At 35.3% G+C, this 17,041-nt stretch overlaps 1 long non-coding RNA gene across 3 annotated transcripts in view; it reads right to left on the reverse strand.

The window, feature by feature from the left end:
- Positions 1–9,193: 9,193 nt before the first annotated feature.
- Positions 9,194–17,041, reverse strand: part of LOC105370767 (uncharacterized) — a 51,260-nt gene continuing 43,412 nt past the window's right edge. For all 3 annotated transcript variants that reach the window (XR_932108.3, XR_932109.2, XR_932106.1), the window contains exon 2: positions 9,194–13,403. This is a non-coding gene — a long non-coding RNA (uncharacterized LOC105370767). The remainder of the gene's footprint in view (positions 13,404–17,041) is intronic.

Consider the following 17,041-nt stretch of genomic DNA (forward strand, 5'->3'; position numbering starts at 1 on the left):
CAGACTTTCCATAATTGTTGTAAGCTAAAAGCCAGGATAAAATATGCCCAACTATTACTAAGGTAATCAACTTTCCAAGTTAGGTATAAAGATAGCGACAGACATGGAAACACACACACATATACATATATATGTATATACATAGAAATATCCATCTGTGTTTATGTATGAAACGTTTTCAGCAGGTGTACATTAAACAAGGCTTGCACCCAAAATACTGGATTCATGTCTGGTTAAAAAAAATTCAAATTTTGTGGGTTTTTTTAATATGCTTTGTACATTAAACTTACGATTTCCTGTAATAGACTTATTGTGCTATATAACACTGTATTTCAAAGTACAGCATGAAATCTTTCCATTTTGACCCAAAAGATATCAGCATTATATGGCCATTGATAAGAATAGAGACTTTGTGAAAGAGAACCTCAATGATTATTCTCTCTTTTTTTTTTAACAAGAATATTAATGACCATTTGGAGACAACAGCTATGGTCACAAATAATACTATGCTAGAGCAGCTATGTGGCTTAACTGAAAGCATACATAGTACTAAAAGCCTTGCTTTAAATAAAAATAAAGCATTGACCATATTATCTGACTTGATTAGAGCAATGATAGAATCCTCAGGATGAAACATGAAATCTGAGTGGGGTGTTGATAACATCATGTCCAAAAGCTTGAACCTGGATGAGATTCTGTAGACCAGCCACCTGCCATTCATGCTTCCCAACACCACTGTTCAAACTTGCTCAAAAGACTCTCATAGGCTTTAATCCTCAAAATCTTGAAAAGTAATCAGTGTGCCACAGGCATTAAAGCTATAAACTTCTTTTAACCTTTCCATTAAATACCAGGAACCTTAGTTTGATTCTGGCAGGTGACCTGGGTGAAGATTTTCATGTTCATTTGATGCACACACATTTTTGCATTCCACTGCTCGTGCTTGTTCACTGTTGGTAAATGCCAAACGCATCTGGGGAGAAGAGTTTTGAAAACAATTAGACAGCCTGAAAAGTCCCAACAATAAAACAGAACTCTTTACATTGCAAAGCCAAACAAATGACTCGGGCAAGTATAATTGAATAAATCCTGGGCTTCAGTGCAGATGGCTGTTTTTACTGTCTGTCTATGTCAGGATCTGCTGAAGGTTCTTTAGTTCGTGTGTGTGTGCACGTGTGTGTGTGTGTGTGTGTGTGTGTGTAGAAGGCTTTTTTATATGAGATTTGGCATATTGCATGTGGCAGGCTGTTGAAAAATGAATAAAGACAGGGGAAAAAAGGCAATGCACATCTCATTGGTAATGAAAGAAAGCAGGTTGCTGACTGCCCATGTGCCAGTTCTCCAGGTTTGCCCAGGGGCTCCCAAGATCATTTCTTTGCCCCCAGATTTTCATGTTGAATTACCACTCACAGTTTCTAAATGAACATGCTTCTTATTTTATTTAAGACACAGTGGGCACTTGTATTTGACTTCCTGCTAGGCAATACAATATTTAGCATTTGCTGCATACACAAATGGCAAAAGATAAAAAATGGCCTTATAAGCATAATTTCAAATTTGTTTCGTTTTTTTTCAAAGAGATATCTTTGCTCCAAGCTTTCAAGAGGCAGACATCAAGTGAAAAGCATTTGTTTTGTGCAGGTTTTGCCTGAGAAACTCTGACCAGAGAAGTCTATGAGGATTCATCAGGAGCTTTAGGCTATGGCCTCATGGCTTTGGCCTGAGGCAAAGCTGGGGGCTAAGGCCTTTTCATGTGGGGGGTAAAGAGTAAAGAAGGAACACATCATGTCTCGACTCTTACTGCTGTTCTAACTGGTACCCACAAGCCTCTCCTTCTAAAATGCAGCTCGCTGTTACCATGCTGCTGTTAAAATAGAAAGGAGCAGCATCATAACTTATTTGTGACCTACTTAGAAAAAATTCAAATTAGTCTACGATGGTCAAAAGGAATACACATTGAAAAGAACAAAAATGCTTTCCCTCAAAACGATAGCTAAAAGGACAGTAGAGAGTGAGATAAAGAAAAACGTTTTACTCTGAATACGTGAATGTCACACTTGGCATTGACCACCCATCTTTTTATGTGATTGTCTTTTTTCCTACCATTCATTTTAAATGTTTGGTCGAGAGGCAAGGCTTTGTATAATATAGTAATCATTTTTTTGAATAAAAGATTGTCATATCTAGATAATAAAATCCTATCTTTTTTTTTTATATTTCTTTTGTTCCAACAAGAACTGCAAAAATAATCTGCAAGCCTGCTTATTTGTTAAGTGCTTCTTAACTCATCTCTGACCCAAAGGATGCTCTTGTCAAAATCCAGGCCTATCAATAATTAATGATGTTTTTAACTTTTGATCTCCAGCCACAACTTTTTTTATTTTATTTTTTTTAGGGCCCAATTATGATTCTAACCACCTGCAAAACAGAGGGAGGGGACGCCTGACAAGTTTTCAGAGAAGGCTGTGACCTGTGAAAGCAGTAACAGCGTTCCCGGAATGTTTTTGTCTTTTTGTGTTTTTGCCCCTTTCTGACTGTCTTTGCCTCCATCCCCCAAGAGAAGAGTGGCTTTAATAACAACGGGGTGAGAGAATGAAAGCATTTAACACAATAACCACTCTAATATGATATTTTCAAGAAACTATGTGCTTCATTTTAAAGCCCACTCTTTGGGGAGGGAAAGATAAATTCCTAGAAAGCAATTGCTGAGAAATAGCCCATTGCCACTGTAAATGTACTCAGCCAAAGATAGTGGTGAGGGTGGGTTAGGAAGCTCTCTCTCAGCAACCCTGAATCTGAATCTTAAGACATATGGTATCCCATACAACTTTATTACTTAAAATGTTTTTTTCTAGTAAGAAAACTTCAGGTGTTCTGTGCGATTATCTTAAGTGCTTCTAGATTTGTGGTAAATTAAGTATATAAACTTTAAACAGTGCAGTTGTCTAAAGCAGCAGTAATCAGCCTTTTTGGTACCAGGGACAGGTTTCGTGGAAGACAACTTTTCCATGGACTGAGTGGAGAGGGGTGCGGGGATTGTTCCCAGATGAAACTGTTCCTTGTTCCACCTCAGATCATGAGGAATCAGTTAGGATTCTCATAAGGAGCGCTCAACGTAGATCCCTCACATGCGCAGTTCACAATAGGGTTCGTGCTCCTATGAGAAACTAATGCCGCCGCTGATCTGACAGGAGGCAGAGCCCAGGTGGGTGATGTGCATTCACCTCCTGCTGTGTGGCCCAGCTTCTAACGGGCCATGAACCTGTGCTGGTCAGCGGCCCGAGTGTTGGGTACCCCTGCTCTACAGCAATCACCTCCAGCAGGCAGGGAGATAATACAATAAAAAAGGGTGAAGGTAGAGGCACAATAGTGACCTGTTAACTATAGATTCAAACCTGAAGAGGCCACTGCTTTAAATGCTGCTAATATGGAACAATTAATATGTTTAATCTTAGGATTTTAGGTCTATAGCTCTAAATACTACAGGCAAGTTAGGCTAATTTTTAGTCTGCACACATATTCAGCTCAAATGCAATGAGGCCACTTTACCATTAGCAATTCCCCATGTTAAAAACAGTACTCTGGGCATGCCAATCATGGAATGGGGGAGTCATTTACATGTATCACTAAAGTAATTATTAACCACTCTTATGAGAGGTTATTTTTACTTACAATTCAAACATTGGTATACAGTTATGAAGTAGGATAGGAAGTAGGGTTGGAACTGAAGAGAAGACTGCATTTAGGATCCTCCAATCATCTGTAATTTTTCCAAAAATTTACTTGTAAAAATTGCCAAAAATACAGAAAAGTTGAAAGAACTATATAGTGTTCACCCAATTCATTGCCAAGATTCTACAATTAACATTTTGCTGTTTTTGATGTATTACATATCTACCCATTCATCTATCCTTCTATTTATGTATCAATCTCCCATATGTATTGATGTAATTTAGTTAGTTGCGGACATTAGTATATATCACCCCTAAACACTTCAGCATGCATATCATTAGCAGAGTTTAGTATAAGTTTAAGTTTCTTCTTTATTTCTAGGTAAAATTTATCTACTGTAAATAGCACAAATTTTAAATGTGTAATTCTGTTTTGAAAATTTATATATCTGGATAATCCAAACTGCTGTCAAGATATAGAAAATTAATATCACTCTAGAAATTTCTCTCATGTTCCTTCCCAATCTCCACTGCCAGCACCTCCAGAGGCAACAACTATGCTGATTGTTTTCATCATACATTTGTTTTGCCCATTCTAAAAGTGCACATAGATGAATTACTCAATAGGTACTCTGTGTAGAAAACTTCCTTTACTCAGCACAATGTTTTCAAGAATTTACCCATGTTGGCACTTACATCAGTTGTCTGTTCCTTACATTGTTGATTAGCATCCCAATTGTTTGAATATGCCACCATTTTGTTTCTGTCCTCTTGATGAATACTGGACTGTTTCCATTTTTTTACTATTATGAATAAAGCTTTAATGAACTTTGTTATAAAAACTCATTGATGTATACTTTAACATTTCTTAGATTGATTACCAGTAGTGGAGTTTCTGGGTCATAGGGTAAATGTATGTATAGTTTTATAATAAGTTGCTAGAAGTTTTCCCAAAGTGCTGTACCATTTTAAACTCCCACCAACAAGTATATGATGGGATCTCTAACCATTCCTTTATTAAGATTTTCAACCATTCCTGTGGGGGGAATATAATGAGATCTCATGGTGATTTTTATGTGTACTTTCCTGATGTCTAATGCTACTGAGCTCTTTTTCATGTGCTTATTGTTCCTTTGAGGAGGGTCTATTCTAATCTTGTGCCTGTTTTTAACCAGGTTGTTTGCATTTTTATTATTGAGTTGTAGGAGTTCTGTATATATTCTGAACAGAAATTGTTCATCAGAAATATGTTTTGCAAATATTTTTCCCCAGTCTTTGACTTGCCTATTTGTTTTCTCAATGATTACTTTTGATGAGTAGAAGATTTTAATTTTGATGAAGTCTAAATATGTTGTTTATTACCATTGCTTTTTGTGCCTGAAGATATTTGCCTATAAGCAAGATGCAAAGATTTTCATTTAATGGTTTTTTTATTTGTTTGTTGTTGAGACAGATTCTTCCTCTGTTGCCCAGGTTGGAGTGCAGTGGAACAATCTCAGCTCACTGCAACCTCCGCCTCCCAGGTTCAAGGGATTCTCCAGGTTCAAGTGATTCTCCTGCCTCAGCCTCCCAAGTAGCTGGGATTACAGGCACATGCCACCACACCCAGCTGATTTTGTATTTTTAGTAGAGACAGGGTTTCACCATGTTGGCCAGGCGGGTCTCAAACTCCAGACCTCAAGTGATCCTCCCACTTTGGCCTCCCAAAGTGCTGGGATTACAGGCATGAGCCACCACACCCAGCCTAATTTAATGGTTTGTTTGTTTTTTTTTTTAAAGAAACTTTATTATTTGAGCTTTTATGCCTAGGTCAGTGATCCAAATGATTAATTATTGTGTGTGATGAGAGATAAGGACAGAAGTTAGTCTCTCTATCTCTCTCCAAAACCATTTGTTGAAAAGGCAATCATTTCTCCACATACTGTCTTAGCCCCTTTGTGAAAATCTGTTGACCAGCTGACCATATATATGTGAGTTTTTTCCTGGACTTCATATTTTGTTTCACTGATATGAATGAATATATATATATATATACATATATATATATATATGTATATATATATATATGTATATATATATATACAGAGAGAAAGAGAGAGATGTGGAAAATATATATATATAAAACAAATGTATATATATATCCTTATATATATCCTTCAACACCACACTGTCTTGATTACTATAACTTTATAGGTATTCTTGAAATTAGATAGGATAAATCTTCCAACTTGCTCTTTTTAAAAATGGCTTTGCTTATTATAAGGTTTTTAGTTGAATTCTCATACATTTTAGAATTAGCTTGCCAATTTCCACAGGAATTTTGATTGAAATTGTTTTGAAACTTTAGGTCAATTTGGAAATAATTGATAACAATAGTAAGTCTTCCAATCCATGAATATATTATTTCTTTACATTTCTTTAGGCCTTTTATTTATCTTAGCAATGATGTATAACTTTCAATAAAGAGGATTTGCACATTTTGCTAAATTATTTCTAAGTATTTTATGTTTTGTCTACACTATCTTAATAGAAACTTTTAAAAAATTTCACCTTCTGATTGCTACTGGTATATGAAAATACTAATGATAATTGTATGTTGACATTGTATCCTATAATCTTGCTACATTTACTTTTAGTTCTAATACTTGTTTTGTACATACCTCGAATTTTTCTTAAGTAAATAGTAAGGGCATCTGTAAATGCATATATTTTTTACCTTTTTTCAAATAATTATGTCCTTTATTTTATTTTCTTGCCATGTCACACTGGTGAGAACTTCATGCAGTTTTCAATGGGAAGGTTGAGGGTGAAAATATTTATTTTGTTTCTAAACTTAGGTGCAAGCTATTTGGTTTAATGGTCTATAAATATCAAGTAGGTCAAGGAAGTGGCTAGTGTTTATATTATCTATGACCTTGCTGATTTTTTACCAATTGTTCTATCAATTGTTGAGAGAGGAGCATTAAAATCTTCAACAATTATTGTGGAATTATCTGTATCTTCCTTTAATTCTGTAAACTTTTGCTCATTGTACTTTGAAACTCTTATTAGACACATACACACTTATAACTATTATATATTTCTATGAATTAACTTTTTATCACTATGAAATATTTGTTCTTATTGCTGGCCTGATAGCTTTTGATATGTTAACTTGATTAGGCTTAGCTACAGTCATAAGACTTCTCTTTCCAGTAGATTTCCAGTTGGAAGTGTGGACTACAAGGATATTTCTTGGCTAGAGTTGGAGACTACAAGGGAGGAAGAATATATTTTAAAGCATATATACATCTTCGACTTTTTCAGTCAGACAGTGATGTAGGTGCTACTATGAAGGGATTTTACAGATGGAACTAAAATGTCTACTTAGCTAATCTTAAATTAATCAAAATGGAGAGTATTCATTTGAGGTGGGCCTGACTTAATCAGTTGGAAGGCTTTTAACAGAGAACTTAGGTCTTCCCTAAGGGGGAAATTTCAGACAGCCACTGGGTCTGCAGTTATTATTGTTTCCCATGGATATTTTCTTCTAGATTAGCTATGGACAACAAGCCTTATTCCATGCTGGTAAGATTTGAACTTGTTCATTATCTTCCCTTCCTGACTGCAACCTCTACAGACTTTGCATTTGATTAACCTGCTCCCAAAATTGAATAAGCCAATTTCTCATAATAAATATAAACATAAATATAATTATATAAATAAATACACATACAGGTCCTACTGGTAAAACTCTTTTCTTGAATTCTACTTTAGCATTGTTAACCTATCTGTACCACTATATTAAAAATTTATCTATTATAAATAACATATAGTCTCCTTTTTATTTGGAGGATTAAGTCCATTTATATTAAATATAAATATTGATAGTAGATCTATATATATATATAATTTTACCATTTGTTCCATTTTTTGTTGTTCCTCTGTTTATTCTTCTTCAGTTTTGCTTATCTATCACAAGCATATTTTCCTTTGTATTCTTGAGCATGGCTTTCATAGCTACTTCAAAATCTTGTTTGCTAATTTCAACACCCAGGTAATTTGTGTCAGTCTTTACTGTTTGTTGTCTTGAGTATAGGTCATGTTTCCTGCTTTTTTATATGTATAGGAGTGTGGGATTTTGCATAATATCTTGTAGAGACTCTGGATTCTGTGATATTCCTCCAAAGATTGTTGAATATTTTATTTGTTTGTTTTAGTGGGCAGTTAACTTCTCTGAATTCAAAGTCTAAATGTTATCGTCCCTGTGCTGGGCAACAGCTGAGATTTCTGTTCTGTTATTTTAGTCTTAGATGGGCTCCGTAGAACCTGCCTATGCATTCGCAGTTTAAAGGGTTAGCCAGAAATTTGGGCAACGTTTACACAGAGTGTTTAATTCTCCACCTCTTTGGTTCCTTCATTGTCAAGATTACTTCCTTCACTTTCCACCTACTATGCTAGCTCTGAACCCTGTCCTCTGGGACTTCAAGTCTATAAAACTACAGCATTCTGAGTCTTAGCCAGCATGCTCTTTCTGTGATTGAAGCCATCCACCCAGCAAACAGTGGTAAAATAAGAAATATTTAGTGTTATTTCCTTCTTTCAGAGGTCCACTTTTCTTCCATTTCTACCTATATTTGGTTGCTCTCTAGTACCTTTAAGTAGTTTTTTTTTTAATATCTTCTTCAGACTTTAACATTATTCTCTGCAGGAGGTTAACTAAGGTATTTCACCATCGCTTGTTGATTGTTCTTAATTCTGCCCATACCTTTGTAAGTCCTTCTGTCTTTAAATATTTGATGTAATTCTTTACCTACTATCTTTAAGTGTGCCTTGAGAGATACACCAACTTTATATTTTTGCATATGCTGTATCTTTTACTAAAATGCTTCTCCCCTGAAACTTACAAGACTAGTTCCATTTTATCTTTCAGTTTCCACCTAAATATCTCTTCCTTGGAGGTGACCATGCTCTTGAATAGGTTCAACTCCTCTCACACTTTACCACATGCTCACTTCTCTGCCTCAACATTTTGTTTAATTCCTTTATAACTCATCAGAATTTTTTTTTTTTTTTTTGAAACAGGATCTTGCTCTGTCACCCAGGCTGAAGTGCAGAGCACAATCCCAGCTCATTGCAACGTCCACCTCCCAGGCTCGAGTGATCCTCCCACCTCAGCCACCCTAGTAGCTAGGACTGTAGAAGCATGCCACCATGCCTGGCTAATCTTGGGGGCTTCTTTGGTGGGGGATGGGTTTGTTTGTTTGCTTTTTGTTTGCAATAAGGTTTTGCCATGTTGCCCAGGCTGGTCTTGGACTCCTAGGCTCAAGCAATCTGCCTGCAGCAGCCTCCCAAAGTACTGGGATTACAGGCACGAGGCACCATGCCCGACTGGAATTTCTTATTTATTTATCTGTTTATGTGTTTGTTATCAGTCTTATGAGCTAGATGGTGGATTTCATGAGTGCATGAATTATGTCTGTTTCATTCAACATTATATAATTGGTGAGTTTCAGAATGTTTAGCACATATAAGCCAATCAATAAGTTTTCATTCATTTATTGCAAGGTATTGTCAGTACCTTTCATGAGAATTTTGGAAGATTTCATGCTGTTAGGTTTCATTGAATTGCTATAGTATTAACTAAAGTCATCACTTTCAACAATGTAGAAGGTGGAAAAATATACATCGATTATCTTACTTCAAGGGACAACAGATTAATAAGGGAGATAGAATGTATCATGTAATAAAGGATACAAAATCCTTTCAAAAATCTTCAGATCATAAAAAATGCAGCCCTGTAAAGTAAAATGTTACAGTATGGTGCCACTAAACAAAAACTCCAGCAAGTGAATAACTTTTAAAAATAAAGGTGGATTAAAAATCTATATACACTAACCAGTTATTTTTTTCCCACTTTGCAATTTATTTTCCCATATTTAGAAAGAATAATTCTTCCTAAGTGATTTTGAGTGTTTAGAAAAATGCTTAGAATTCCTTAGGGAATTTAGGAAGCAACTAGGATGCCTTTTGAAGCTGTTATTATACCCTCAAAAAGAGACTGAGACTGCACTTCTAATCTCAGGCCTTTGAAGAGAAGCTGCCCTTTTTAAGACCTCCCCTCTGGACTTTAATCATCTCCTAATAGGTCTTCTTACCTCTAGTTTTTCTTTTTCAAATTTTACTAATTATGCACTCCACTGCTTAATTCTTAAAATGTGAATATTCTTATGATATTTTCCTGTGAAAGAATCTGTCATTGTTTCTACTGTGTCTCAGATCAATTCTGATATCCAAAAATATTCATAAGATATTTAGTCTTCAACCAACTGATAAAATCAGCTTCATCACTACTCCATCATGTCCAAGATCAAATAAGTCAGTCATCTGCCATGCACCATGTACATTTTACACATTGCTGCCATTGTCCTTTTTAACACAGCATTCCATCACACTCTACCATACCCTTCCCTACTAGAATGCCCTTTTCTTTTCTTTTCTGCTTTTCTTTTCAGCTTACTGAATTCTTATAATTCTTTCCAGATCATAACTCATAATTCATGAAGTCTTTTTTCAATTACTAAAAATACAATGATCTTCAAATTACTTCAGTTTCCTGTAATAATTATCAATAAATTTGTACTGAGTGTCTATCATAAGCTGGGCCCTGGATATACAAACAGGTGGAAGATTCAGTGCCCAAACTCAGAGTTTCACGTTCATCTAACAAGATAAATAATAACGCAGAGGCAAAAAAAGGGCCTCATAGTTTACTACCCCACCATGCAATTCCTTAAAATCTGTCTTAAAATTGTTCTCAAGTATTTTTGTATTATCTGTCTTCCCAAATTAAACTCTCAAAAGGTTAGATTTCATATCATTTTTATTTTATATATCTATCTTAAAGTTTGTTGAATTAAATAACAGCTAATGCTTACTGAGTGTTTACTATGTGATGGGTGCTATTTTTAATACTATAAATATATTAACTCATTTAATCTCCAGGAAAACCCTATGAAGAAGGATATTGTTACCATTTGATAGATAGGAAGACTGAGGCAAAGGAAGATTAAGCAACTTGCTCAGGATCACATAGCTACATTAGTGACAGAGCTACAATTTGGATGTAGGTATTCTACCTCTAGATGCTGTACTTTTTAATGTGGTGCCTTACTGCCATGTAGACTGCATGTCTATAGCACGCGTGCATCCATCAGACCATACTGCTAAAATAAAGAAGGATCTACTATGAAAGCAGAAAATCTACCTGGGGACAACAGAGAAGCTGTCGAAACCTGAGAGAAGCAGAGCTGAACTTGAAGGTCAGGAGTTCTCCAGCCCCAGTCAGGTATTCTAAGGTTTGGAAATCATGTGGTTGCCACTTTCCTTACCACTGCTTTTCTGATAATGCTGCAGGGAGTTCTAATATGTCATGGTCATGTTCCTAGAGTCTTCCCCTCAAGGAGAAGCCTAGCAAGGAAACCCATTCCATTGACTATGCCAATCAACATAGGCCATCTCCTCCTTTTTCCTTGCTAAATGAACTCCGATTCTGTTTAGGAAAGCAATGTTCTCAACTAAAAGACAATCAGGTTTCCTAGGTTTTTGAGAAACAATGGATAGCTATGAGTCATGGATCCAGCCAAAAATATATGAACAGAAGTATGTTGGATATATATGTTGGGTATATATTATACTCTAGAAAAAGACATTGCCTTCCATTTTTGCCTACAAAAAATAGACTGATTCAGATGGTACAGGCATTTTGGCTCTCTGCTCTTCCCTTTCTACCTGCCTGGAAATGCAGACATAGTGCACATTGGTACAGCAGCCAACCTCCAACCAAGATGCCAGATATCACACACTCAGATCAATGAAATTGGAGGGAGAAAAAAAAAAAAAAAAAACCACCTCCTTGAGTTCTCCAGTCTCCCTCTTAGGTACAAAAAATTAACCCCTAATTTGACTAAGCTACTGTGTTTAGGATTCTGTTTACATGCAGCTTAATGCAATCCTAAATGATAACACTTATTATCAGGGGTTGATTCATAGGAACAAGTTCATTCAATTTTTGGGAAACTGGTGTTAATAAAACCCTCTACTATACTCAATCACTGTGTGTGGACTTTTGTATATTTTTGGAAAAAACCAATAAAACTTCCATTTGATTTTTTTTCAAGAGGAATAAGTATTTTGTTACCATTATCATCAGGGTAAAATAAAATGGAAGACAATTAAATAGAGCCTTTCACCATATCTGAGCCAATATTTTGAAGCTCAATACACTTTTACTTCAGGAAGGAAAGTTCACATCAGTAATAGGGTGATTCATCCTTCCTTAATCAATGAACAATTAATCTTCATTAGTATACCCAGGTAGTTTAAATGTGCAATGTGATGCTGGATCTTAGCAAGGAAGCCTCGAATACAATGGAAGTCATTAAAATTACATTACATTTAGCATTCTTGATGAGGCCAAGCTGGCACCAATTCCACAGTAATCATAAGCACTGAGGCTCATGGCTGAGTCATTCATAGACTATGGACAAATGTGTTCATTTAAGTATCATTACCTGCTCCCAAGGCCAAAGTATAAACTTCCTGTGACTCTAAGGGTCTAAGGATGGTTCCCTTAGTGATCCTTACACAGGTCACATTTTTGCCTCACTCACCTTTGTTCATACTTCAGGGCCCAGAACCACTGGGTTCTGATCCCATTAACCCTAAGGTGCCTTGCTCAACCACTCCAGCTTGTAGAGATATCCCTAATAGTCCAATTATTTTCTATCTGTCACTTAGGGGCATCATTATATCATTATTAGCATTATCATCACTGTTCTTATGTGTTGAATGCTTATTATATACAAGGCCGTCTCATAGGAAATGTATCTTTGCCATTTCAGCCATAAGTTGATCGTCTTATTTTCACCTTACAGATACGAAAACTCAAGTTCTCATTAAAAAGTTTGCCCAAAATCAGGCTTCTCTGCTTCCAAAATGACACATTGGTCTTTCAGTCAGTTATAAGTTACATTCTCTTTTGTTGTTTTTGCCTCTTGCTAGCATACAATGCTGTCAGCTCCCTGAGGGCAGTGATCATGCCATATGTTTCTAGATATCCTTAGACTTCAACACATAAAGGACACAGTAGGGTCTGGTAAAGCCTTGATAAGTGCAGTGGGTTTGACTCTAGTCCAATCCTACTAATTCTTGGTGCCTCATATCAACTTATTTGATACAAGAATTATCTGTAAACCCAGAAGTAATTTTTAAGACTGCATGGTTGGATTTGGTAGATAGCAAGCTCTTATAGGCTGTTTATCCTTCTAATCGTACACATAAATAGAAGAGAAGCCAGAGTAAAGCCTTGAAAAGACCAAGTTGACTCATCAAGTATATGTCTCTATCAGTCTTGTGAAATAGACCGTCTTTTTGTTAAGACTTCAATTTAATTAGGATTCCTTCTTCCATTGAGATAACATCTTCAACTGGTTTAGTCCTTTCTTGTGCCTTCTTGCATCCTGAGAGGTGGTAATGGTTTTCATTTTACTTTCTGGTCTTAAAGCATGATAAACAGCTAGTGTCAGTTTTACTTCCCCTGACCAGGGCCTGCAGCAGTGGCAGTAGGGGAAGGTCAGGGAGCTGGCCTCCAGTCATCTGCAATGTTCCTCATCCTCACTCTCCACAGCTTCATCCCTTCTTTCCTGTGGTCTTGATCCATCCTTTTACTCTCAAAGATTGTATGATCTGTGCCTAGAATTATAAAATAATTTCACATTTTACAGATGTATTTTATTAAAGACATTTATGAAATATCAAGCCTCTCCTTAAAATGCAGTTCAATCGCTTTTTACATGTCTTTGGTGTACCTCTGTTTTGTTTACTATGAAAAATAGCTGGAAAACAAAGTTGGTATTATAATTTTTCTCCTTAATTACAGTTATTAATGAAGACTCTAAGGTTTTAAAAAATAAATATGATAAGGCCAATAAACCAAGACTGCAGATTTTTTAACATCAATATATTCAATATTGAATTTCAACAGAGTAACACAAGTCCTATGATTACAGTCAATAAATGACCCATATACACATCAGCATGTCATGAATTTTTTGGAGGGCTGAGTCTCTTGATTGGGGATGCATTTGGCAGAGCCAAACACATGAAGAGTCAATGCCTGTAAATGATCCTTCAAATTTTACTTCCATTTTATCTAATGTGGTCACCTAATTCCAACTAGTTCTAAGCTTTTCCCATCTGAGTCTGTTTGCAAGAAAGAAGATTTTCATTGGGATAATCTGGGGATATTTTTATCCAGGCATTCTTTATACCAGGAGGATTTTTGTTTTCCTTTTGAATAAAAATAAACTAGCCAGTTCCATTTTTCTTATATATTAATTTTTAAAATAATTTGCGACTGCGCACGTGGCTCACGCCTGTAATCCCAGTACTTTGGAAGGCCAAGGTGGGCAGATCACCTGAGGTCAGGGGATTGAGACCAGCCTGGCCAACATGGTGAAACCCCGTCTTTAGTAAAAATACAAAAAATAGCCAGGCATGGTGCCACGCGCCTGTAGTGCCAGCTATTCAAGAGGCCGAGGCAGGGGAATCACTTAAACCCAGGAGGCAGAGGTTTCAGTGAGCTGAGATCGTGCCACTGCAATCCAGCCTGGGTGACAGAACGAGACTCCATCTCAAGAAAATAAAATAATAAAATAAAATAAAGTAAAAAATTTGCTAGCAAAGAATAAAATATGGCACACCAAAGTGCATCATTTTATTAATTTATTTATTTTAAGAGAAAAGAGGCAAATACACTCTCACTGACCTGTATAAAAACAAACCACTGACATCCGAATTCTTGCCTCTACTTATTTCTTTAATTAATCAAGTTGCCAAATACATTTTAATACACAACTCTATATTTAATACTTCTGTAATTTATAACATTTTAATATTCTGTTACATAAAATAAAAACAGACAAATTATATATTACTAATAAGCTACTTTATCTAAATAATTACTCTGTTCACTTGTATCTAAAACAGAGGACACAGGTTTTTGATTTAGAAATCTTAGGTCCAAATTTTCAAGTTTTGTGTACTTACATCATTTAATCTCCCTGAGCCTCAGTTTAACTATCTGTAAAATGGGGACAGTGATATCTACACCAAAAAAATTATTCTGGATGTCCAATAAGATTAGATAACATGCTGAGAGGTGGTCCAGGTCGGTAAAGAGTATGGAACCTGAGCCGGGCAACTTGATTCACTTCTTTGTTTTTCAGTCTCTTTATCTGTACAATGAAAATGATGGTTATGGGGTCAGGTGTTAATATATGGAAAGTGTTTCAAATAATGTGAATTTCAGTAAGTCTGCTTACGTATGGGTATTATTATTATTTCATGTGAAAGTACTTAGCAAACACCCTGGAACATAGTTCTACTTTCCTCTTGTCTTGTTATTAGCAAATCGGTTCCCCATTTAACTATTATCATTTGACAATGGCGGCTACAGAATTTCTTTATGAGGGTGTCTGGGGGTGGGAGAAACCTTGTAGAAAAAAGAGTTGGTAGAAAAAAAGAAATTTGTCTTGAAACTATGTTTGCACACTCGTTTAAATATGATCAAGAAAATGTTATTTTCCAGAGGAAACTACTGAGAAAGGTAACTGCGGAAGGTAACCTACTGAACACTCTGGATCATGCAAATATTTCCAAGTAGCAGAATAGTGATCAAAATAATGAATTCTCAATCAATCAATCCAGTATTTTCCGTATTTTTTCCATTGCTTAGCACAAAACAATAATGGGAACTTAAAATACATGAACTGATTGGTGTTTGGCCCATTAAGTGATCCAGAGAAATTCGTTCTACCCAAGACATTCTACCTAAGAGACATATAAAAATGGCACCCTCTTCATTTATTATTGATGTCAAAATTAAAAGCATTACAATTCATATAAAAAATTGTACCCCAATCTAAAATATCATGATTTACTTTTATATATGGGATTAATATGTTAGGTAACAAACTTTGATATCCTGAAAATGAATTGGTAAAAGTCAATGACATATTTATTTTATTTATAACACATACACACACACACAGCACACACAAAGCAACACCCACACACACACACACACATTTTCTACACAGCAAATGTCTATGATAAGATCAACCCACCAGCAATGAGCACCCCAATACTCAGATTTTCCCTCCCATTACCATATTCTATAAGAAGGAAAAAATAATATTTTAAGTGGTTGCTAATTCCAGATGTGAGACAAGAAATATACAAGATTATCCCAGCACAAGCAAGAAAGCTATCAAGGATACTCAGCAACCAACTTGAATAAACCCATTTTAATCCAAGATAGAACAACTGAGCATCAATAAAGATATATCTGCAAAGCACTGTGAAGCATTAAGTATGTTAAACCCAGGCACCTTTGATAATTCTTAGATAAAAATTAGTCAACTCTGGAAGATGCTAGGGTTCCACCTCTTCATTTAAACAATTGATAAACTAGCGGGGAAATAAACAATTGATTCTGTCTTTCCTACATGAGCTATACCACAGAGTAACTACATATGAGATAAGGGGAAAATTCAATTTTGATGTTTTAGGATAGCAAATTAAGACGAAATAATCAATTGAAGTAAAGTCAAAGTTTAGAGTTATATCAACAATAGTTGATGTAAGTGGATAATTGTTAAAACTGAAAGGTGGGTTCATGAGTGTTACATTATTATGCTATTCAGTATCTTTTATATATGTTGATGTTTTCATAATATGCAATTAAAGAGAAATAATAATATCCTGGTTACAAGTAGCTTGGTAGTAAGTCTTTAAGAAATGTAGCATGAATTCTCTAAACGTACTCTTTTTCAGGATTATATTGACTATTATTTTTTGTTTCCATATATATTTAGAATTAACTAAGCTATTTCTACAACACAGATCATTTTTATATCATTGAATCTGTAGATCATTTGAGCAGAACTCACATTTTAACATGCTTGAGTCTTCCAATCCATGAACAGCTCTTCATTTATTAAGTCTTCCATGATTTTTTTAATATGGTTTATACTTTTTGGTGCTGCATTCTTGCACATACTTTGTTATACTTATCCATGAAGTTTGTCTTGTTTTTACTATTTAAATTGTATTTGAAATTTTAAATTTAATTTTTAATTTAATTTAATTTGTTTTCATCAAATATATAAAACTACAACTAATATTTATTTGTATTTTGAGTTTGTATCCTGCAAATTTGACTTATCAGATTTGTACTTGCCATGGCTAGTAATTGCCTTGTAGATTCCTTAGCGTTTTTATGTGTCATAGAAATATCATATGTGCACACTTTCACACAGTGTGCAAAT

Source organism: Homo sapiens, chromosome 15, assembly GCF_000001405.40.
Source record: "Homo sapiens chromosome 15, GRCh38.p14 Primary Assembly".
NCBI lineage: Eukaryota > Metazoa > Chordata > Mammalia > Primates > Hominidae > Homo > Homo sapiens.